The sequence below is a fragment of the Homo sapiens genome, chromosome 12, assembly GCF_000001405.40.
Source record: "Homo sapiens chromosome 12, GRCh38.p14 Primary Assembly".
In the NCBI taxonomy this organism is placed as follows: Eukaryota; Metazoa; Chordata; class Mammalia; order Primates; family Hominidae; genus Homo; species Homo sapiens.
In genome coordinates, this window is record NC_000012.12 from 103299197 (window position 1) to 103322868 (window position 23672).

The 23672-nt window shown below is 38.4% G+C and overlaps 1 protein-coding gene across 43 annotated transcripts in view; it reads right to left on the reverse strand.

Annotated features, from left to right (window-relative positions):
• Window positions 1-23672, reverse strand: part of C12orf42 (chromosome 12 open reading frame 42) — a 516167-nt gene that overhangs the window by 251573 nt on the left and 240922 nt on the right. For 23 of the 43 annotated variants that reach the window (XM_047428803.1, XM_011538294.3, XM_047428802.1 and 20 more), the window contains 2 exons: window positions 6778-7149; window positions 2759-3363 (listed from right to left, as the gene is read on the reverse strand). The exons of 17 other annotated variants lie outside the window; for them this stretch is intronic. In XM_047428803.1, coding sequence (XP_047284759.1) covers window positions 2912-3363; window positions 6778-7149 — 824 coding nt within the window. In that variant the 3' untranslated portion in view covers window positions 2759-2911. Of the gene's footprint in view, window positions 1-2758; window positions 3364-6777; window positions 7150-23672 lie in introns of those variants that run through there. 3 more of the 43 variants (XM_011538306.2, NM_001386872.1, NR_170333.1) reach the window with 2 other exon arrangements.

Consider the following 23672-nt stretch of genomic DNA (forward strand, 5'->3'; position numbering starts at 1 on the left):
GTGTATCATTATTATCATTAAAGATGAAGCTTCCTTATCTATGAAATGGAGATAATAGTAACTACTTCGTGAAGCCATTATAAGGACTAAATGAATTAATATACGTTAAACAGGACAGTCTCTAGTACAATACACAATAAATATTAGCTGTTATTATAATTATTATTTTATATATTATAAAAAGAGTCCTTATTTGTAAACATTATTCACTAGAGATTATCCTAAATACTTAGTTTCTTCAGTGCACCAAATTTTTATATTTCTCAATATTTATTTTCTAATGCAACTTTCATAAAAATATTTTTCCATGAAGTGGCATATTATGTTCCTTAAAGATATTTACAGTGTGTGGTAATACAACATAGCCATAAGTCAAACCACATAAAGAAATAAAGGAAAACTGTAACTCAGAACCTGTGAAACAATTATTTTTTACAATAGGACCTCATTCTAGTCTTCACTGCCTGTGCTACATATAAAAATATTTACTTCCTTAAATGGATTCATCCTCAGTTATTACTGTTTAATTTAGCACTGTTTTCAGAACAAATGGTATTGGGAAAGAATTCACTACATTTACCTTGGTGCATTTGTGTCTAAGTTATAGTACAAAAGAAGCTGTCATTCCAAAGGACTTGAACCCCTCCAGCCCATGACGATGACAGAGTTGAAAATGCTTCTCATCCATCACTAAAGAGCATGATCAGGGCTGAGTCAACTAATTTTCTCCCAAACATGTGCATCCAAAATGAGGACAAATAAACAGAGACAGCTCATTACACTGCTCCAAGGAAGAAAAGGGTCTCAAAGTGCTCTCTCTTTAGCCCTGATTTTTACCTCACTAATTTGAAAAGAAATCCTTACTTTGAACCCTACAAATCTACATAGACTTTGGTGTATTTAGAACAGAGTTTTGAGCAATGTTTTCCCAAGGGTGTTGCATAGGACACTGGTGGTACAAAGTACTGATAAGTTTTTTTCAAAAACACGTATGTGTTTACACACACACAAATCTATCAGGATTCCATGATTAAATAAGGTTGCTAGACATTGGGTTAAACAGAGTTTATCAGATTTTTTTTATTATGGGATTTCTCAGGGACCTAATGTTACTATGACTCTCTAAGAGGGTACATGGTGGGTATCTCTCAGACATATTTATCTATGGACTCTCCATCTCACAAACTATCTTTCTTATACCAGTGTTTCACAAAACACACTTTGGGAAACTTCTTTAGAATACCACATATTTTATGTCTTTAGCCTGTATTCCTTTTCTGAATTCTGAACAGGATCTCTCCTTCTGTTTTGCATTTTTAATAAATTCAGGAATTTGCACTTCTACAGCTGAAGGAATCCATCTACTATATCAAGTACATTTTCTATTCTTGAAATTGACCATTACAAATTTTTGGTTAATTGTTTTAAAATAACTTAAAGTAATGATGTCTTAAACTAAAAAAATCAGTTGTGTTAACTCATAATTAAATAGCAAATTAAAATATCCCAGAATAAAACTTCTACATAAGTCCATGAGTTTGCCTAACACATTTATCTCCAACCAAATGGCATGAAGTTGAATTTGTGATTGTCACATGAACTCTGGTAAGCAGATGCCATTATATCCTCAGGAAACCACAGCAATCAACATTGATAACCTGTACATTGTCTTATAATAAACCATGTTAATAAATGAATAAAAATAAAAGCATATTTATTATTAAAAAATCATATTAATCTGGAACCAAGAAAGCTCTAAAGTTTAGGGATTCCATTTTTCTTTAAAGTGCATAATTCTTAAAGCATGCTAATAATAAAAAAAGTAAACAGTCTTCAGTCTCCAAAGGACTAAACAGACTCTTAAATGTTAGGAAGTTATTGCTTATAACATTTCATTCCTCTCAAAACCTTGAGACTTAAATTTGGACTTGAGACATTATGCTGTCTTAAATGTAATCATACTGTGTATATTAATTTGAACTGAAGAAAAAAAAATTTTTTTTAAATGCAGTAAGATTTGACAACCTCCATCTATCAAACTCTGTGAATCCAAGCTTGTGGGAAAATTCCAAGGAACTTGAGTGCAAAACTGCATGTATGCATATCGGTCACATTGACTTCTCTTTGTTTCTGAAGGGGAAAAAAACCCTACTATATTAAAAAGAGAAAAACTAAACTCATAAAATCAATTGATAAAGTTGGTCTCAGAATCCTACCGTGAAGAAAAGCTGCTATATTAACAAAATAAAAGGTATTGCCTAAAATTACCAGTTTGATAAAAGGTTCCCTAAGCTGCTCCAGTTTTTTGTATTACAAATCAGCAAATTCAGCACCTCTTTTACATTAAACTTGGTTCCAAGTGTTTCAGGGCCTCAAACTGGGGTCCAGCTTCAGGTTTCTGACATTAAATCCTTAATACGACATGAAAAATTCCCCTGGGCACATCAGGAGTAATCAAATTTCATGTAAATTATTAAATTACAGACATTCAATTATGTTTTCCCAAACTCTCTTTAGAAATTCTAAAGGCCCTTAGAAAACATCCTTAAGCCAAAGGCGAAGTTGGCAAGTGAAACCGTTTACCTGCGAAAGCAAAACAAAGAGGGGTCCTCACAATCCCAAGAGGCACGTTGCAAAGTGGCACGCGATGTACCCCATCCCTATTGTGAGGCACAAATTCTTTGTAACACTGGGAGACACCGCAGAACAAAAATACTATTAGAGATGCTTCAAAAGGAACATTTTTGGCTGCGCTAGGGACTTTTGACATTATTTATTAGGTTCAAAAATGCTTCACAAAAGCCTAACAATGGTTCTGTGGAAACCAGTACATCTGAGGCCCTTTCTGTTGTTCTGAGCAGGCATTGATTTGAAGATGGGCAGCACTCGCCGAACAATTCCCTCGCAGCGGTCAATGTAAGTGAGCATTCACCACCGGCCTAGAAAGGGCCTGTGAACAAACCGTATGGAAACGCCGGGTTGGGCGGGGGGGTGCTGAGGAGCAAACCTTTATTAACCTCTTGGAGGGGAAATGGGTGGAAGCACCGGCCAGCAGAGGAAGGGGCGCTCCTGCCAGATTGCCATGGAGGGAGGTGTCCGCCTGAGGCCTCCTGTCCCGCGGGGTATGAGGATGCTTGGGGAGCATCTCCGGCGCCATGGCAACCGCGCCTTTTCCGACGGGATTTCCGGACGCGCCCAGGAGTCTGCTTTGGATGTCGTCGGGGTGTGCCTGAGCGCCTGCTGGGACTGCCATCCTCTCCTCCGGCTCGAGCTCTGTGTTACTCGGGCCGGTGCTCTGCAGAGCGCCGGGCGTCTGGCTCCTCCTGCAGAGGCCGATGGCAGTGGAAGGTCTGGCGGCAGAACCTGGAAGGCAAAGCAGGAAAGCAGGACAGAGATGAGGCTCAAGCGTGCGGGACCACACCGCACCCCCGCGACAACTGGACGTCTGAGAAATCAACATTTGTAATGTGCTCAGAGGGGAAAGAAAAAAAAAAAAAAACCCTGACATGATCCTCACCTGCCTCCCCATATTTCTCTAAGAAAACAAAAATGCTATCCATTCCTTTCCTGTTCTTTGAAACCACCTACCCAACACCTCAAAAAAAAAAATAGCTTTTGCATAATCCTCAGAAAACTTTCTATTTCAAGGAAAACTGTTCAAAACTCCTAAAGAGAGAGACATAGAAGAATCGGTGGCTAAAATAGGGCCCGAACTTCTAAATGAAGGGAAAGTTTGTGATTGGAAAATTGTCAAGCGGAGTTATTAATGGATATGTAAAAGCAAATGTGTCTACAGCTCCTGTAGGCTGTCAACTGATGATTTTTTTTAAATACAGGAGGCTGTTATTTCATGAGTTTTATTGGAAACTTCAAACCAGCTGAAGACTAAAACAAACAGTAAATTAACCTAAGACTGGGTCTACATCACACACACATATCCACTAATACTAATAAGTTTGACTTTTTTCTTTCTTTGCCCAACGAAATAATTTTTCCATACAAAAGATGTGTTTTTTTACAACATAGCCAAGACTGCTATATGTGTGTGTGAATATATATATATTCAGAAACATATATTTACCTACATTTTCATATGTATATATAAACTTCCATATTATATAATATATTGCATATATAAACTTCAAGATTTATATAAATACATATATAAATCATGAAGATTTTACCTGAAAAATTCTGCCCATTGACCTACACAAATTAAAATCTAATTCTTCAGTAGTGACTTAAGATAATTTATGTGCCTTAAATAAAAAATGTATGTGCTTTAAATCACTTTCTAGAAGCTTTCAAAGGTTTTTAATAGCATTTAGATGTCTAGAATATTTGGAGCAACTCAGATCATTCCAAAATTCAAAAAACACATAAAATAATTAAAATGAATAGTACCTTCCTAACACTGGATGTCAAACAGCCAGTGTATCTTTACGTAATTCAGTTTAGTTCATCGAACTCTGTTCTATGCCTAGTATGTACTGAGCACCTCCCTCTGCACATTCCACATGCCCAAGTCAAACAGTGAAAATTTTTTTGTGAATCTGAATTCTCCAATGCAGGAATCACTTCCTGAAATAAAGGCAGAATGGCATTTTAATATCTCCAAGTAAATGAAAACTTTCAAGCATGTTGCTTTGTGAACACTAGGTGCTTAATAGCTGTTGATTTGGATTTCTGGCCCTGTCAGATGAACCATTCACTGCCATCAATATTCAGTGCAAGAAGAATCCTCCAGAGAACATTGATGTAGCTTTGGAGTTTGGAGCAACAGGGCATGACCTAGACAGGATATGCTTTCCTATGTCTTGAGCCAAAAAAATAGAAATTTCCTTCCCTGAAAGCAATTTAGTAATGATACATTTTGCAACAAACTATCTTAAAGGAACAGTGTGGTATAATGAAGTAAAGCTCTGGGGTCAGGACTTCACAGATTCAAATCTTGGTACATGACCTGGCCTAAGTCTCTTTGACCTTACCCGAAAGATGGGAATTATATTACCTACTTCACAGGGTTGCTAGTGAGATTAAATTTGTTCATTCATTTATTAATATTTGAATGCTCAGTATGTGATCAGCAGTATTCTAGACCTTGGGGATACAGAAGGAATATGCAGGCAATAAAAAGTAGGGAGGAGAAGCAGACTAACGAGCAAGTGAATGAATAAATTTTAAGTGCCAGCTGGTAATAAACCCTATGATGAAAAATAAACTGAAAAAGGAAGTTGAGAAAGACCTAAGTAGGTGACATTTCAAGTCAAAGACTTGAAATGAGAAAGGAAACTAGCTAAGTATTGGAGGAAAGAATCTGACAAAATGTTAAGCATCAAGTACATGGCAAGTGCTCAGTACTCAAGAGTCACCATAGTCATATTTAGAACCTGGATCTAGAAATACTCTGACCTGGATTCTGCACTAAACCATAGGAAAATAACAGTTTCTATCTCAGAAGAGAGTCATGAGGATCAAAACTGAAGATGTACATTCCAATTTCAACATATTGCCTTGTTCATAGTAAGAATTCAAAAGTGTTAGCCGACCAGCATCTTCTGTTTCCCATCACCAGGCTCAGCCTCCCAGAAACAAGGGAATCTCTGACATAGCCTTTCTGGAAGAAGGTCTCCCAGCCCCCTGCTTGAGCACTTCTAGCCCATGCAGTACATTCTCTTCTAGTTCAAAGAAAGTTCTCCTTTGTATTGAGTCAAAATCTATCTCTTGTCTTCTGGTCAGTTCCAACAAACTGTACAAACATGTGGAGGGAAACCTACCTCAAAAGGTCCCTATAAAGCAGGGGTGTCCAATCTTTTGGCTTCCCTGGGCCACATAGGAAGAAAAAAATTGTCTTGTTTTGGGCCATAAATAAAATACACTAACACTGATGATAGCTAATGAGAAAAAAACTCACAAATAATCTCGTGTTTGCAGAAAGTTTACGAATTTGTGTTGGGCCACATATAAAGCCATAGACCATGAGTCGGACAAGCTTGCTATAAATGAAAAGACTATATAACATCAGTCTCATCCTTCTTCTACATGACAGCTCTTGGAATATTTGGAGATCCACATTTTTTCCTTACATTTTCTCTCCTCCAGTCTGAACATCAGCACCATAAGTACCACCACCGTCATCACCACCCCCATTAAGCCCTTACTATGTTCAGGAAATTTTATTTATATAAATCATTTAATTTGAAGTAATAATTGTCATTTTTTACAGATGAAAAAACTGGGCTGCAAAAACATTTTTGAGACTTGATCATGGCTACAGATCTGAGATGGGAGAGAGTCGATATTTGAGCACAGTCAAAACTTATCCCTTCTGGGCCATGTCCTTACTTTGAATCATTCCTCCTATATCCTGTGCTATGAATTCACAACTTCCTTGTCTGTAAAATGGGGATAATGGTATGATCTGCCTGAATATTATATGAGGATTTCATAAAATAATATAAAATGCCTAGCACAGTGTCTGGCACATGGTGAAAGCTTAATAAGTGTGGCTGGAATGGTGATGATAATAGCTGTCATTGTCAGGTGCAATAACTGAATCATCAAATTACCTGTCATCAACTCACACCTGTTCTCTCCTCCAATATAATGCTTGACAACAAGCAGACTTTCATTGAAGACTGGCTACTACAGTTCTTACAGTACCTTCTAGAATAGGACTGGCCATGAAGTCAATATTTTTTCTGTTTATACTGAAGTTAAAAACAAAATGTGACCAGTTGAAACAAGAAGAGTCAGTAACCACAACATGATACTTACCAGAATTTTTCTTGGGACTGCTCAAGGGCTGGCCCTTAGGTCTTGTGTGTCTACTGATGTGTATGCCCTGAGCCTCCAGGTGAACAGGATTTACTGAGTGTGCCCAGTTAGGCTTTTTAACCAGTTGTTCCAAAAATGAACTGTTCCAAGCCTGCTTGGGTGCTCCTCTGGCTCTCTCCTCAGTTTCTCCTCTGGCAGTAAAAATCAATGGGGCCTCATCAGTTTCACTGGATGGTGCTGGAGAGGAACGGAATTCTTCATAGCTTTCTTCATCAAAAGAAACTGTGCTTACAGAACACCTGGGGACTATGTACTGGCAAGTATGAAGTAGTCTTTTACACGCCATTGAATTTTGAGTCCTTTCTGGAAATACTGTGAAAGGTAAATACATTCGTTTGAAAAATTCACCAAAAACACCTGCTAAATTAATGGCAGGAAGGATGGAGTCAGGTAATATGTAAACTTTTGGTTGTTTTGTGTTTCTACTGTGAGTAAACAAAAATGACAGACTAGGGTAGCTGAGTAGGAGAAGAAGAAGAGGGGAGGGTCTGGAAAGGGAGGTAGAGGACAGGATGTTTGTGCTGAGTTCTAGTTATGTTGAAGGCACCGTGTGAGGCCCCAGACATGTTTGTCACTGAATCCTCAAAAGAATCATATCTAGCAGATAGTATTATTATCTGTCTTGCACAGGTCACAAAGCTAGTTTTGAGGCTTATGGGTTGAATTGTGTTCACCCCCTCCCCTCCCTGCCAAAAAAGATATATTAAAGTCCTAACCCGCAGCACCTGTGCATGTGACCTTATTTGGAAATAGGGTCTTTGAAGATGTAACCAAATTAAGATGAAATCATTCTGGATTAGGGTGAGCCATAATCTAATAAGACTGGAGTCCTTATAAGAAAAGGAAACTGAGACACACAAGAGAATGCCAGTGAAGACAAAGACACAGAGGGAAGACCCAGGTGAAGACAGGGACAGATATTGGAGATAGCCTGCTGCAAGCCAAGGAACACCTGGGCTACCAGGAGATGGAAGAAGCCACAAGGAAGATCCTACCCTAGGGGCTTCAGAAAAAGCACAGACCCGTGAACACCTTGATTTTAGACTTGTAGCTTCCCAAACTGAGAGAATACATTTCTGTTTTTTTAAGTCACCCATTTTGTGGTAATTTATTACAGTGGTCCTCAGGAACCAATACAGGCTTAGAGCAAGTAGCTTGCTAAAGGTCACAAATAATTAGCAGAGTTGAAACTTGAATCCACATCTGTCAACCCCATAGCCCAATATTGACTGCTGAAGCCACTCCTTTTGATGCACTGTCAGAAGGTAAAAAACAATCTCAATTGCTCAAAACTGCCCTAGAATATTGTAAAGAGCACAGAGAGAAAAGAGCTATACCACCCACATTGATTCTTATCCAGCAGTTGATATGGGTTTCTTTACCTAATTCATTTCCACTGGGAAACTGACAGCCTACTGTGTCAACTCAAACCATTCATATCTACATTTCTAGCGTCTCAGTAGAAAGTAAACAGGAAAAAAAGTCCCCAATTGTCAAAGATATTAATGAGCAGAGCTGGTGCAATGCCACATTTCCCTGTCACTGGTGATGGTGGCCTGGAGGAGATGGAGATAAGACAGTTTAAAGATATATCTAAGAAGCAAATCTGGCTTCTTAGCCAATTTGGTAGTGGGTTGGTTATGGGAGGAAGAGGCACACAGAAAAAGGGAAGAATAATTCCCTAGATTTACAACTAGATGAATGGTAGAGGGGCATGCACATGTGTGCACATGTGTGTGTAGGTGTGTGCTTGTGTGTGCATGCAAATGTAGGATTGAGATTTGAGTGCTGAGATCTCTTTTGGGGAGAGGGGTGCTGTGAAAGGGATGAAAAGATGCAAGATTCATTTGCCTTTATCTTATTACCCAAGCCAATTCTTTTTGAGATTCTTGCTTCCATATAAATAAAAATGAATTATGGTTTGTTTCTAAGTTAAGATATTCTTCACAGTGCTGTCAGTGCAAGCTCTGAAGATTGGTGAGCTGGGTTTGAATCCTGATTCTACAAAATACTAGTTGTGTAGCCTAGAAAAAATTCTCTAGGTTTACTCTGCCTCAGTTTCTCATTCATAAAATAGGAATAATCATATCTACCTCTAGGAATATTCTAACTATTAATAGTAGATTAGATAATGCACATAAAGTACTTAGGGTAGTAGTTGGCATTTAGAAAACACTTGACAAATATTGAACATTATATAGTATACTAGAGTTTACATGGAAAAATACTTATTATAGTGCAACATAAAAGTATATAATTTTGATTTTTAAGAGGCAAAGAATAAAAACTGGAAGAAAATCAAATTAACAGTTGTTTCTCAGAGGTATAATTCAAACTCTGGGTAACTTCTATGTAATATTCAAATTTTATGCACTCAATATGTTTTACTCTTATAATTCAGAAATCATCTTCAATTAGACAGTGCAGATAAACTTTAGAGAGTCAATGTAGTTTAGCATTCCTTACCATTTATTTAATAGGATGACCTGTCACCTAACAGTAACATGGAATGAGATCATTCATGGAGGGAGCAGAATGAGGAAGGATAAGTGTTTAGAGCTTTGGGATCTGATTGGGTGAGGTGTTAAGCAGACTTGTCTGGACAAATAAAGGGCAATTTGCAGGAAGGCATTGGGCCTGAGGTAGCATGAACAAATGACCTAGCTTGCTGTGATATAAATTGTGTCCTCTAAAAGATACGTTGAGGTCCTAACCTCCTGTGCCTGTGAATGTAACCTTATTTGGAAATCAGGTCTTTGCAAAGATAATTAAGCTAAAATGGTGGTCCTTAATCCAATATGACTGGTGTCCTAATAAGAAAAGAAAACAGAGATACAAACATGCAGGAAGAATCCCATGTGATAACGAAGGCAGAGATTGGAGGGGTGTACCTACAAGCCAAGGAACACCAAATATCACCAACAACCACCAAAAGCTAGGAAAAAGGCACTGAACAGCTTTCTCCTTCAGAATCTCCAGAAAAAGCCAACGCTGCTGGTAGTTAAATTTGGATCTCTGGTCTCCAGAATTTGTGAAAAAATAAATTTATGTTGCTTTAAGCCAGGTGGTTTGTGATACTTTCTTATAGCAGCCCTAGAAAATGATTATACCTACAATAACTCCAATGTACACATGTTGTCCCAGAGTACAGTTGACCCTTGAACTGAGCAGGTCCACTTATATAGGAATTTTCTTCTGCCTCTGCCACCCCTGAGGCAGCAAGACCAACCCCTCCTCTTCCTCTTCCTCCTCAGCCTACTCAAAGTGCAGACAAAGATGAAGACTTTTATGATGATCCACTTCCACTTAATGAATAGTAAATACATATTTTACAATTTTCTTAAAAACATTTTCTTTTCTTTAGATTACTTTATTGTAAGAATACAGTATATAATACAAATAACATACAAAATATATGTTAATTGACTATGTTATCAATAAGCTTCCAGTCAACAGAAGACTACTAGTAGCTAAATTTTGGGGGAGTCAAAAATTATATGCAGATTTTCAACTGTATGAGAGGTCAGCACCCCTAACCTCTGCCTTGTTCAAAGGTCAATCGTAATCATTAATACCAGCTCTTTTCACTCAAAAAAAAAAAGTGTCCAGATTTGAGGGATAGAAAAGAGGGAAAACCAGGAACTGGTAGGTGTGAAATGAGAGCAGGAAAAAGTTAGAGTTCTTGATTTCTACCAGGTAGAAGCAACCGTGCTGGACTGTAAAAACTTGTAGCAAGACACATATTTCCTGAATTCAAGGCACAGTCAAATGGCAAAGAGGGCATTGGCCATGCCAGGTGCCCAGACACAGCCCTCCTGAGCCACAGCTTTGTCCGAGAGTGGAGACCAAAGCAAATGCCTTCAGAGGCCAGGCGGATGACAGAAATGAAATAAGGGTCCAAGTAGGGATACCCTGGGGTGATATGTCCCAGTATAAGGGGCCAGAGACCTTCAGATCCTATCTTTTATTGCCATGAGAGAATGTGGGTCCACTGTAGACAGTTGATATAGTTTGTATATTTGTACCCCACCCAAATCTCACGTTGAATTGCAATCCCCAGTGTTGGAGGTGGGCCCTGGTGGGAGGTGATTGGATAATGGGGACAGATTTCTTACGAATGGTTTAGCACTATCCCTCTGGTGCTGTTCTTGTGATAGTGAGTGAGTTATCCTGAGATTTGGTCATTTAAAAGTGTGTGGCACCTCCTCCCCTTCTCCCCTACTCTCTCTCTCTCTCTCTCTGTGTCTCTCCCTCTCACTTGCTCCTACTTTTGCCATGGGACTTGCCTATTTCACCTTCTCAGGAGCCAATTAAATCTCTTTTCTTTGTAAATGACCCAGTCTCAGGTATTTCTTTATAGCAATGCACAATAGCCTTTCTGGATTTTCAGGAAAAGCAGAAATATGTATTTTTATGCATGTGAAAACCTCTGAGTTTTAAATGTTGGTAACATTTTGGATTTTTTTAATGTAGTGTAAGATACACAAAACACAACTGTTCTTGGAATCATCAGAGGCCACCAATTTGTGTCTTTGGCCTATGCCAGCCTTGTAAAGGCCACGCTATCAATTACCTCCTTTCATAGAATCTTCACCCCAGAACATGATTTTATAAATATTCAGCTTAGAACAGTGGGAATGCATTTGCAAACCCTGTGTGCAAGCACATTTTAGAACTCTAGAAATCTGGTCTACCTCCAAAACGTTAGGCTTTTCATTTTCATTTTAATTGGTTGCCTCATTTCATCTTAGAAAATGTCTACCAGAATTTGAAACAGTAGACAAATTTAGCAGGCTTTCCCAAATGCAGAGAAACATTTAGAATTTTTCAAAACAATAGCGCTGGATCTCTTGATCTTAAAGGAAAACAAACAACACTAGAACCAATAGCATTCTATCTGCCCTTGTTCTGTTGTTCAAATACCAAGAACAAGATGGAAAGCCTGAGGTACTTTATACACTTTCGCATTCCAGGAGTTATGGGTTGAAAGAGACCTTAAAGGTCATCTGAGGCTGAGCCCCCACCAACTTCAATATCCACCTTTGTTTAAATACCTCCAGGGAACTGGATCTTATGACCTGTGCACTAAAGATTTCACTGCTTCTCAGAAGAGAAAGCAACTGTGTATTTGCAATATTAACAGGCATTGTGTGTATGCATGTGCGTGTGTGTGTGTGTGTATTCCTTATACTTAAGTACAGGGAATAATTAATAAGCCACTAGGTATGATGTTGGGACAGGTGGTGACTACGCTTATTTATTTAGTTATTCAATCAATATTTATAGTTTCTACCATATACTAGATACTACCCCAGTGATTACCCAGGCCAATAGAAGTGATCCTTTTAAGACTAAGTTGATCAGCTGATTTATTGCAAAATGAACTTCAGCAAACCAGAACCTTCTAGTGTCTCAGATCCCTGAATGAATTTTGGGTTACCTCTATGATACAACTACAACTACCAGGTTGCCTAAGTGGCTACAGCAACCAGTTGTTTTGGCATCAAACAATCAGAAACAGAGACTGTTGGAAAAGGAAAGTCCTTTTGCAATCTCCAGTGGCTTTTATTAATAGTATTCCTTATAATTTTTCAAATCTACCATTCTAGATAGTGACAGAACTTGAGCCAAAATCCATAGCCCATGACTTAAAGTCCAGAGCTTTTTGTTACGTGACACATCTCTTGCATTGAATACAGTATTTCTCAATCCTGGCTGCACATCAGACAATACCTGACATGCTTTTAAAAATATAAACACGTGCTCCCACCCTTGACCAATCAGTGAGAGTGGGACCCTAGTATCTGTTCACGGTAAATCCTTCAGTGATGAAAATGTATAATCAGGGCAGGGAGCTACTGATCTCAGTCACTCATCAGAGATTTCAGGTGCTATTATCATTTTTATTCAGTCAAACAATCATGAATATACTAGAGCTATAAAATCGACAAAGTCTTTCTCCTCAGGTATCTTTCTATCGATGGTCCTCATTTCAGAAACCAGCATTATTTGCTCCTTTACAACTTGCATGTTCCTTTACATTTTGTTCTCATACCAGTAACTCCACTTGAGCCTCACAAAAACTCTCTGGCTTACTTATGTTACTGAGGAGGAAACAGAGATACAAAGAGAGGAAGCGTCTTGTTACACTCCCTTCTTAGGCAGTGAAGAAGCTGAGTTTAGGACCCAGGTCTTCAGATTTGGGGAGAGTTTTGTTTTTCTACTACACAATCAATGCCAGTAGTGCCAGAGGATACATGTGACTCCCGTGAACTGGGCTTGATGAAGCGAGGTGGATGCAAGTGGTCATGGTGCTAACAGCTAACAAAGGCTGGGCACTGACCATTGGCCAGGCCCTGCTCTATTGTCCATGCCTTGGCCCACAGAAAATGCTATCAGCATTATTTCTAACATACAGAAGAAGAAATGATATCTTTAAAAGGTCAAGCACTCTCTAAATTGCTCAAAGTTCCAATGAATAAAATGAGCAGGATCAGAGTTTAAACTATCTGCCTCTCGAGGACCAACATTCTTAACCGTGTCCTCCAGCTTCCTCAGGCTACTGAGGCAAGGGCACAACTTTTCCCAACTACTGATACACTTGGGGCTTTTTTGGTGTTTTGGTTGTTAAAAAAATTCTCCCAAATATTCAAGTTTTACCAGTTCTTTTAATGTGTAAGCATCTCTGTGTCTTATTTTGCAGCACAGGACTTCCATCTGTTGCCAATTTTATATGAAGTAATATTGTGGCAGATGATTTCAAGGTACAATAAAATGAATCTATTTTACAGAAACAACTTCTCATTCCTTTTGAGCTGCAAAGCAGTTCATGGTAAATCATAACAAATGCTGATGTATTCATTTTCAGTTTTGATACAATAGAAAAAGACAAATATGTTAACTCCTGTACTTTCAGCCCCTCTGAGATACCAGCGAGCTGACCACTTCACACCCACTTCTTGTAGCTATCCCTTAAAAAATAACTTCTTTGTGTTCATTTTTCCACTCTGTCTTTTCCTCTCTCTCATGCTTGTAACTCTAGCATGTTCATGTTATGAAAAAACTAGAGGCAATTGTCCTAAAAGGAGAAATGAAACAGAGACAATTAATTCCCCAAAGCTCATTTTGCCTTTCTCTCTAGGCACAAATGAGAGCCTGAAGCTAATCGATTTCATCTCCGGCATATCTAAAGTCCAACATAAACCTCAAATAGATTTTCTATTAATGCTGAAACTCCAGTGTTAGGCTTTAAAAAGTATTCTTACACCACATAATGGGGTTTAATGAAGGCTGCCATCTCCTATTCAGCTTTTTAGCTAACTGGGGAGTGAAAGTCATTTTTAAGCTAATAGGGTTGAAGCAAAGGAAGAGTCTGAGATGCACCACACCCAAGAGGTGGCAGAGGTTGGAGGCCAAGAGCACAAGCACTGGATCCAGACTGCTCAAGTCAAATCTATGCTTTTCCCCTTCCCAGCTGTGTTACCTGTTACCTAGGCCCAGCTACTTAAGTGTTCTCTGCCTCAGTTTTCCCATTCATAAAATAAAAATAATGATAATATCTATCACACAGGATTGGTATGAAGATTAAATGAATTAAACAACAGGAGTTTAGAGCAGTACCTGCCACATAGGACATACTTAACAAATCTTAGCTGTTATTATCGTTGTTGTTATTACTTCCTTCCTCTCTCCCTCTGTAGCTCCTGAATGACCTCTTCGGTGGCAAGGACTCAAGTAGAAAATTATATCGTTTTCATCCATGCAGTGTTTGCCTCAGCTTATACATTTCTTCATTCAAAAATATTTATTGAATGCCTACTATATGCCTTGTCCTGTGCTTGACCCTGGAGATATGACAGAATAAGGCAAATGTATGCCCTCATGGGGCTTGCAATCTACAGGGGGAAGGCGGCAAAAGCAGGCCACAGTTACATGGTTATAAATAGTAGTGAGTGATATTAATGAAAAACAAGGTGCTGAGACAGAGAAACATGAGTGGAGACCTGTGAAGATGATACTCAATCTGAGACTAGCCTGAAGGCTGAAAAGGGCTTAGTCATTTCAGGAGTGGAAAAAAAGAGTATCCCAGCCTGACAAAGACAGATGTGTTTTCAGAACTGAGAGCAGCCCAGATGGATGGAGGGAAAGGGCAGGAGAGGTGTTGGGAGGGCAGGAGAGGTGTTGGGAGGGCAGGAGAGGTGTTGGGAGGACAGGAGAGGTGTTGGGATGTTGCACAACATGCAATAGAAAGCAACCAGGGGTTTTGAGAGCAGAAGCAATTTAGAAGGCAGCCGGCAGTTGCCCAGTGAAAGGTGATGGCAACTTTGATGTGCCTGGTAGTTTTTTACAGTGAATCCAAATAGTCAAACAAGGATCTGTTTACCTAGAGCAGAAGCCTCTGGAATTGTAAACTGGTAGGAATATTTAAAAGATAAATTTGATGAGCTGTAGGAGGCTAGTTGTGAACTAGCTTGAGAATAAAAATCTTCTGGGGACCAGGTTTAGAGAGAACCTATATTTTAGTGAGTTTTGCCTCAAGGAACTCCACCAGTTCCCCAAGGTGAAAGTCTGAAAAAGATTCCGTCATGGATTTGACAGGAGGAAGATTTGGATTTGACAGGAGGAAGAGAAGAGTAATCACTGTGAAACATGGCCAGGGAATTCTTCATAACAAAAGCATATTAGGGTCTTGTTCTAGCCGAGGGAAGGGAATCTTTCCCACTCCAGCCCCCTTTAGCCTTCTTGTCTTACTTACCTAAGAGGGAGAAAAAAATGCTAAGAAACACTTGTGAAGGTCACAGCCACACTTACTAAAAGACTGAGATTTAATCATAAGATTATAGAATCTTTCCCCTCCATCCATACCTTATCATCACACCAACAGGGCTTCAGTATAATAACGGTGGATTACAACTAAATATGTTGCAAGATGCAGCCTCTCTGTGTGAAAGGGTAGTTAGGGAATCTCAAAGTCCAGAGAATAGGAAAAAGAAAGAACACTGGACAAATTTGAAGCCTCTGACCCCTGCAGCTACAACAAACATTAAACACAACCCGACATCTAGCCAGATTAACATAAAACCTCATACTAAAGATTTGTTTATCCCAGTTTCTATTACCTGATACATCATGCTTGGTTTTCAATAAAAATTATGAGGCATACCAAAAGGCACAAAAAGATACAGGCTAAAGAGACAAAGCAAGCATAAGAACCAAATTCAGATATGACATGGATGTTGGAATTTTCAAATAAAGAATTTAAAATAAATACGATCAATATGTGCTCTAACAGAACAAGTAGACAACATAAAAGAACAGATGGCAAGGTAAACATAATGATGAAAACTCAGAATCAAAAAGAAATGCTATAAATAAAAAACACTGTAACAGAATTAACAAATGCCTTCAATGGGTTCATCTGTAGTTTGGAAATGGCCAAAGAATCAGTGAACTTGAAGACAGGTCAATACGAACTTCCCAAACTAAAATGGAAAGAGAAAAAAAACCCAGAACATACAAGAACTGTGGGACAATTTTCCAAGGTGCAGCATATACATAATTGTAATACATGAAGGAGAAACAGAGGGAGAGAATGGGGCAGAAAAAAATATATGAAATAATTATGGTTAAGAACTTCCTAAAATTAATGACAGACACAAAACAGTAGATCCAGACATCTCAGAGGACATTTAGAAAATTTACAGGAGACATACACCTTATAGAAGAATGACGATAACAATTACAGTGAGAGATCTATTGAACAACATGGTGACTACAGTTAATAACATCATATTGTGTTTTGAACATCGCTAAGAGGGTAGATTCTAAGTGGTTTTACCACAAAAAATGATAAGTATGTAAAATAATACATAAGTTAATTAACTTGATGGGGCCATTCCACAGGTATATATATTTCAAAACATCACACTTCACACTATAGATATATATATATATACACACACACAGACAAAATGCTTTTATGTATATATACACACACATGCACTGATGCAGTATATATATATACACACACACACACAGTACTATATAGTACTGTATATATATATACACACACAGTATATATATACACACACACACAGTACTATATAGTACTGTATATATATATACTGATACCAATATATATACTGATATAAATAGTATATATACACACACACTATTTTTATTTGTCAATTTTAAAATTTACTTAAAAACAAATTACAGTAGACTTCTCATCAGAAATCATGAGAGCAAGAAAATAGTGGAATAAAATAAACTATTGAAAAACAGAAAACACCAACCCAGAATTCTATATCCAGTAAAATTATCCTTCAGCACTAAAAGAAAAACTAAGACTGTTTTAGACACACACAAAAATGAGAAATTCATTGCCAGCCTACTTGCCCACAGGAGAGGTTAAAAGAAGTTTTTTGGGGAAAGGGAAAATAATATAGGTCATAAACTCATCTACATAAAAAAGAAAAGACTTGGAGAAGGAATAAATAATATGAAATCTTTTTTTGTCTCATTCTTGATTGATCTAAAAAGTAACTGCTCCTAAAAGAGCTTACTGCCTGTTTCATTCCAAAAAAGCCCCCTGTGACCTCCATCATGTCTCCTTTTCCTGCTTTATTTTTATTTGATTAACCATATACCATATGTGTAACTGTTCACAAGTTTAATGTTCATTTCCCTCACTAGAATGTAAGCCCCATGAGGGTAAGTACCAGCTCTGAGCCATATCCCAAGCGCTTGGCACATAGTAAATTCTCAAAAACTTATACTGGAAAAAAAAAAAAGAATGAATGAATGAATCCCTCATCTCTCCAGTGAATGCTCTTCAGTATTACAGTGTCACCCTACTCCATGTCGCCATATCACCTCTGTCTTCTTCTGCAGAGTTCCCTCTGGGTAACCACTTCACTTCTCTTTCCTCAGAGATTGGTCCACATTGCTCAGTTTATCAAAGTCACTCATTCCAGCTCTAGTCACCACAGTGGCTTGCCCCCATCAAAGGTGGCAAACAAGTTTTGTCTCAAATACCAGTGCCCCAAAATTGGTTGTGGCATCAATTTTTCAAGAAGAGTTCTAGGGCTGTGTCTTGTTCATGGAGCAATTACTGATATCTGCCATGGATGTGGGAAAGTAAACTTGCTACAAGAGGAAGAGGCATTTGTCATAGCTCAGGCACTCTGCTAAGTATAAATGTGCCTTTTCCTTCTTCTGAGAGAAGGATATTCTTTCTCCCAATATCACTCAACCACCCCCTCTCTCCTAGTAAAGGGACACATGGGTCAGCCTCTCATCATGCAACAGAAGATAACTGCAGAGTATTCAGATATAGTTCATCCTCCTCCCAGGATACCGCCTCTTCCCCATGACATCATCAGCCTTATTCAGTTGCATGTAAATCACAGAAAATCTCCAGCCCAGGACACAGATTTATATTGGAATGTTTTATTTTTAAATGTCTGGGCTAGACTACAAATTGTTTCAAACATGAGATATAATTTTAAAAACATTGGTCTGAGAGCCAGAGCATTTGGTCCTAGTGGATACATTGATTCATTGAATGAATGTCTCTAGGCATTGGTTTCCCCATCTATAGAAAAATAAAAATGATCTCCAAAGTCTTCTCCAATTTTAATAAGCCTATGAGATTCTGAGTAGTTTTTTTTAACTACACTGAGCATTTTTTTCTTTAATGAACTTCATTTAGTTATTTTTTGAAACACTATGTTACCACATGAAATTGGTATTTTGTAGGTCAAAAATGGTCAAATATAGGCCATTTCACATATTACAACTTAATATCATATGTACAAAAGGGTATATATATACACATGTTAACATATACAAAAAGAAAATAAATAGCCCCAGACCCACCCAATTTCATTATATGAGTATCCACAATGTATTTGTCCATTCTCTTATTGACAGACATAGGGGTGAAGCCCAGTCTTATGTTGTTTTTGTTTTAATATTACCAACATGCTGGGCACGGTGGCTCACGTCTGTAATCTCAGCACTTTAGGAGGCCAAGGTGGGTTCATTGCTTGAGGCCAGCCTGAGCAACATGGCAAAACCCAGTCTCTACAAAAATTACAAAAAGCTAGCCAGGTATGGTGGCATGTGCCTGTAGTCTTAGCTACTCCAGAGGTTGAGGTAGGAAGACTACTTGAGTATGGGAGGCAGAGGTTGCAGTGAGATCACACCACTGCACTCCAGCCTGGGCAACAGAGCAAGACTCCATCTCAAAAAAAAACAAAAAAGTATTACAAACAAGACTTCTGTGAACACCCTTGTATATGTCTTCTTGTGCATGTACCCTAGTTTCTCTAGGAGTGCCAAGTCATGGGGTGTGCATATCTTCAATCTTATTATAGAATACCCATTGTTTTCCAAAATGTTTATACCAATTTACACTCCTATAAGCAGTGAATACAGTTTTCTGTTGTTCCATATCCTTGCCAACACTTGCTATTACCTGAATTGTTTTTTGAATTTTTGCCTCTGTCAGGTAGAAAATGGCACTGCATTGTGGTTTTAATATGTATTTTCCTGACAAAGAATGAACTTGAGCATCTCCCCTCCCACTAAATCTTTCATCTGAATTGCTTACAAACTGTATAATTGTGGGCTGAGTTTCAGTCCCTTTCCTTTCTCCTGCCCCGTGTATTCTAACCAGCTGGTGAATAGTGACATAGCCCTGGAGGACACAGTGGGGAGCTCTTGGAGAATCCACAATGTCAATAATCTGCCTCTAAATGAATAACCAGGATTTGACCTTCAGGAATTGTACTCACACAATTCAACTGGCCATGCCCCAGTGCAATATTTCACATCGTGCTAAAACTCTGGTGAAGCAGTATTTTGCATGCAATTAAGTACTTGAATGATTCTTTCATCTAAATGATTAACTTATGTCAACCACAGCTTGCTGGAGACACAAAAGGCTTGTGCTACCTGCCTGCATTATTAGTCCAGACAACACCTTAGCTTTCTTATATGAGGCTGTTTCCAAGTCTTTCATTCTCCCCACTTCAGAACATACATTTTCTCACTGACTCTTTTTAAACATGATATTAAGATGGGAAAAGGGCTGATATTAAAATTCGAAGGGCTGTATATGTGAACCTTTTAAATCACATCATTCAAAAGCACATATTCAGGAAACCAACCCTTCACTGTGTTTATTCTTTAAGAAAAAAAGCGAAAATGTTTTCCCCTCATGCTAGAGAATTCAACAGGAATGATGATCTTTCTTAAATGAACCTATGGATAAATAATTCTGATGAATAAAATTAAGGAGAAGAGTGGGGAAAGAGTCACACAGGGAGTCAGAAACAATTGAAAAAGAAATCCAGGCTACCCCCAACCCTAGTCTTTGTTGAAGGGATCACCAGAGATCTACATAGATATTATTTTGAAATTTAGAGCTTCAACTTGTATGAACAAGAATACCCATGCTGAGTTTTTGCATGCCCCTGTGAAACAGCAAAAGAACTCGACAGACCCTATTCTTGCATTAAAGCAACACACTGTGGAAAGCCTGAAAATAAACCATCTATGCTTGATTAATTAGGTTTGTAAGTATTGTTTCAGAACCAAACAATATTTCTAAAGATTTCAATAGTTCAAAGATTGCCCTATGGCCGTCTGGCCAATACATCTTCTAACACATGCAGTTTACAAGCATTTTTCTTCCCAATATGTTGTCTTTGGTTGGTGCGACATTGTTTGAGTGCAGGGCTATTTGGGTCATAGTGGTTTTCTCCTTCGCACAGCAGTGGTGCTGAGCACAGCACTTTGACCATACATCTTCCATGTCATTTCCATCAAAGGCACATGATACTTCCTGGTGACCAATCAGGAGTGGTCCAGCATCCTAACAGAGGGCATATTGGCAAAGCAAGCTTCCTTAATGACAGCCATTGTTCAAGGCCAACAAAAGGGAGGTCCTGAATATTAACATGTGGCCTTGTGCAAAGGTCACCGGTATGGCACATCCATCATATTTCACAACCGAGAAAGAAAACGTTATAAGTTCTGTCAGAACCTACTGCTGTCCACATAAATGTATTAGGCTGACAGGTGACACCAACAAGGCAGATGATCTTGAGTGATGATATCCTCTTTCAACAAACATCCTTTCACTTCTTTGAAGCAGCAGCAGACATTACGGTGAGAGATAATGGTTAAGGAATATACCTCAAGGCCACAGGGGGTTAGAATAATCAGGCAACCCAATAGAAATATTAACTTAATAACATGTAATCATTACACCAAATGGTATCTCCTTCTAATAGGCATAATTTCCCACACTGAGAAGAGAAATCACATATTTTAACGCCTCAGAGTCTTCAAGCATCTTCTTAATAGTAAAGACCGGTAAATCCATGAAATTTCCATCAGTAAGATTTAGACTGTTGATACAGTTAGTAAAAGAGAACTTACTCAAAGGCCTGAGTTTACTGACAACGCCACATTTGGTTAAATGTTATGCAAAGCAAACTATAATGATAGAACTGAATGGAGCTAAATTATGTCACATGATTTCAATACTAAACCTAACAGCAAATAGCAAGCTTTCTTAACTGACAATTGTGCTTAGAGACGGTTCTACATTCAATATTAGAGATATGGGGTTCTGGTTATTAAATATCATCTTTTTAAAAAGTTGGACTTTATTTCTAGTTAAGAGATTTGAAAAAAAAAATCAAGGAAAAGATTAGTGAATAAGCATGTATCTCATCTGCTGCTTATGCTCACAACAATCTCCCTGTCTACTGAATGACTGCAGTTATTTCTTGCTGTATCCTCATTGGACACATTGTAACTGAATGTCTTAGGTGAGTATACCTTTTTTAAAAAAAAATAGTTGTAAGTTATTAGAGGGAAGAATATGCATCTTTATGTTTTTCTGAATCCAGCCCAGTGCCTAGCATGCCACGCTCTGTGAGTGTTCTATAGTTGTTACACAAATGCATTAATACATATAAATAACAATTCTAAGTACTTTAGAAAGTTTTTTTAAAAATTTCTGGTTGGCCTACAAAATGGGAGAAAATTTTTGCAACCTACTCATCTGACAAAGGACTAATATCCAGAATCTACAAAGAACTCAAACAAATTTACAAGAAAAAAACAAACAACCCCATCACAAAGTGGGCGAAGGACATGAACAGACACTTCTCAAAAGAAGACATTTATGCAGCCAAAAAACACATGAAAAAATGCTCATCATCACTGGCCATCAGAGAAATGCAAATCAAAACCACAATGAGATACCATCTCACGCCAGTTAGAATGGCAATCATTAAAAAGTCAGGAAACAACAGGTGCTGGAGAGGATGTGGAGAAATAGGAACACTTTTACACTGTTGGTGGGACTGTAAACTAGTTCAACCATTGTGGAAGTCAGTGTGGCGATTCCTCAGGGATCTAGAACTAGAAATACCATTTGACCCAGCCACCCCATTACTGGGTATATACCCAAAGGACTATAAATCATGCTGCTATAAAGACACATGCACACGTATGTTTATTGCGGCACTATTCACAATAGCAAAGACTTGGAACCAACCCAAATGTCCAACAATGATAGACTGGATTAAGAAAATGTGGCACATATACACCATGGAATACTATGCAGCCATAAAAAATGATGAGTTCATGTCCTTTGTAGGGACATGGATGAAATTGGAAATCATCATTCTCAGTAAACTATCGCAAGAACAAAAAACCAAACACCACATATTCTCACTCATAGGTGGGAATTGAACAATGAGATCACATGGACACAGGAAGGGGAACATCACACTCTGGGGCCTGTTGTGGGGTGGGGGAAGGGGGGAGGGATAGCATTGGGAGATATACCTAATGCTAGATGAGGAGTTAGTGGGTGCAGCACACCAGCGTGGCACATGTATACATATGTAACTAACCTGCACAATGTGCACATGTACCCTAAAACTTAAAGTATAATAATAAAAGAAAAAAAAATTTCTGGTTGGCAATGCATTATTAAACTTATATAGTAATTATGTTTTATTCTGTCTTCTCAGATGTGCACGCGCGTGCGTGCGCGCGCGCGCGCACACACACACACACACACACACACGCACACGCACACAACTTTCTTTAAGCCAATGATCCTACTACTCTAAGTAGTTTAAATGAGAACTTCCTTACTCTAGAGTCTTCCCTTCTCTGGCTGCAATGGGAAAATCACCCAAGGTGATACCCTACCCCCATCCACAGTTGATTGGTCAAGGTTTGTGCAACTTGCACTCATACTTGGACAATTAGACTCCTTTGATGGATTTTTTTTTTCTTAGGACTTAACAGACCACATCTCAGTACCTTTCTGGGGCAGATGCTGGCAGCTATTGGAGACCATGTTTTCATATTTCACTGTTTTCACTGCAGAGGCTACAGTGAGCAAAAGAAGATGACATGCAGGAAGAATGAGAGGCACAGATGGAGGTCTCAGGACTGCTGAAGATCCTGGCTCAGAGCCTCCCTGAGGCCAACCTCACCCCAAATTCCATGTGCTTTGGATATATGAGCCACTTCCCTTTTTGGCCAGCGTACTTCAGATAGATCTCGGTAATGTCTTATCGAAATAACTTTAATAAATTAGTTGCTGTTATTGTATTTCATTAACTAAAACTGCATTTTTTAAAAACGTTTAAACTGGTCTCACCACCACAAATGTCCAAATTCGTAAGAGTGCATTAGGTTAATCTGTTATTTCTCTTAAAAAAATGGGATGCTTATGAAAAAGATACTTTGATAAGTTGTGAAGACTTGTTTTATCCTCATAAATATGGCCAAAC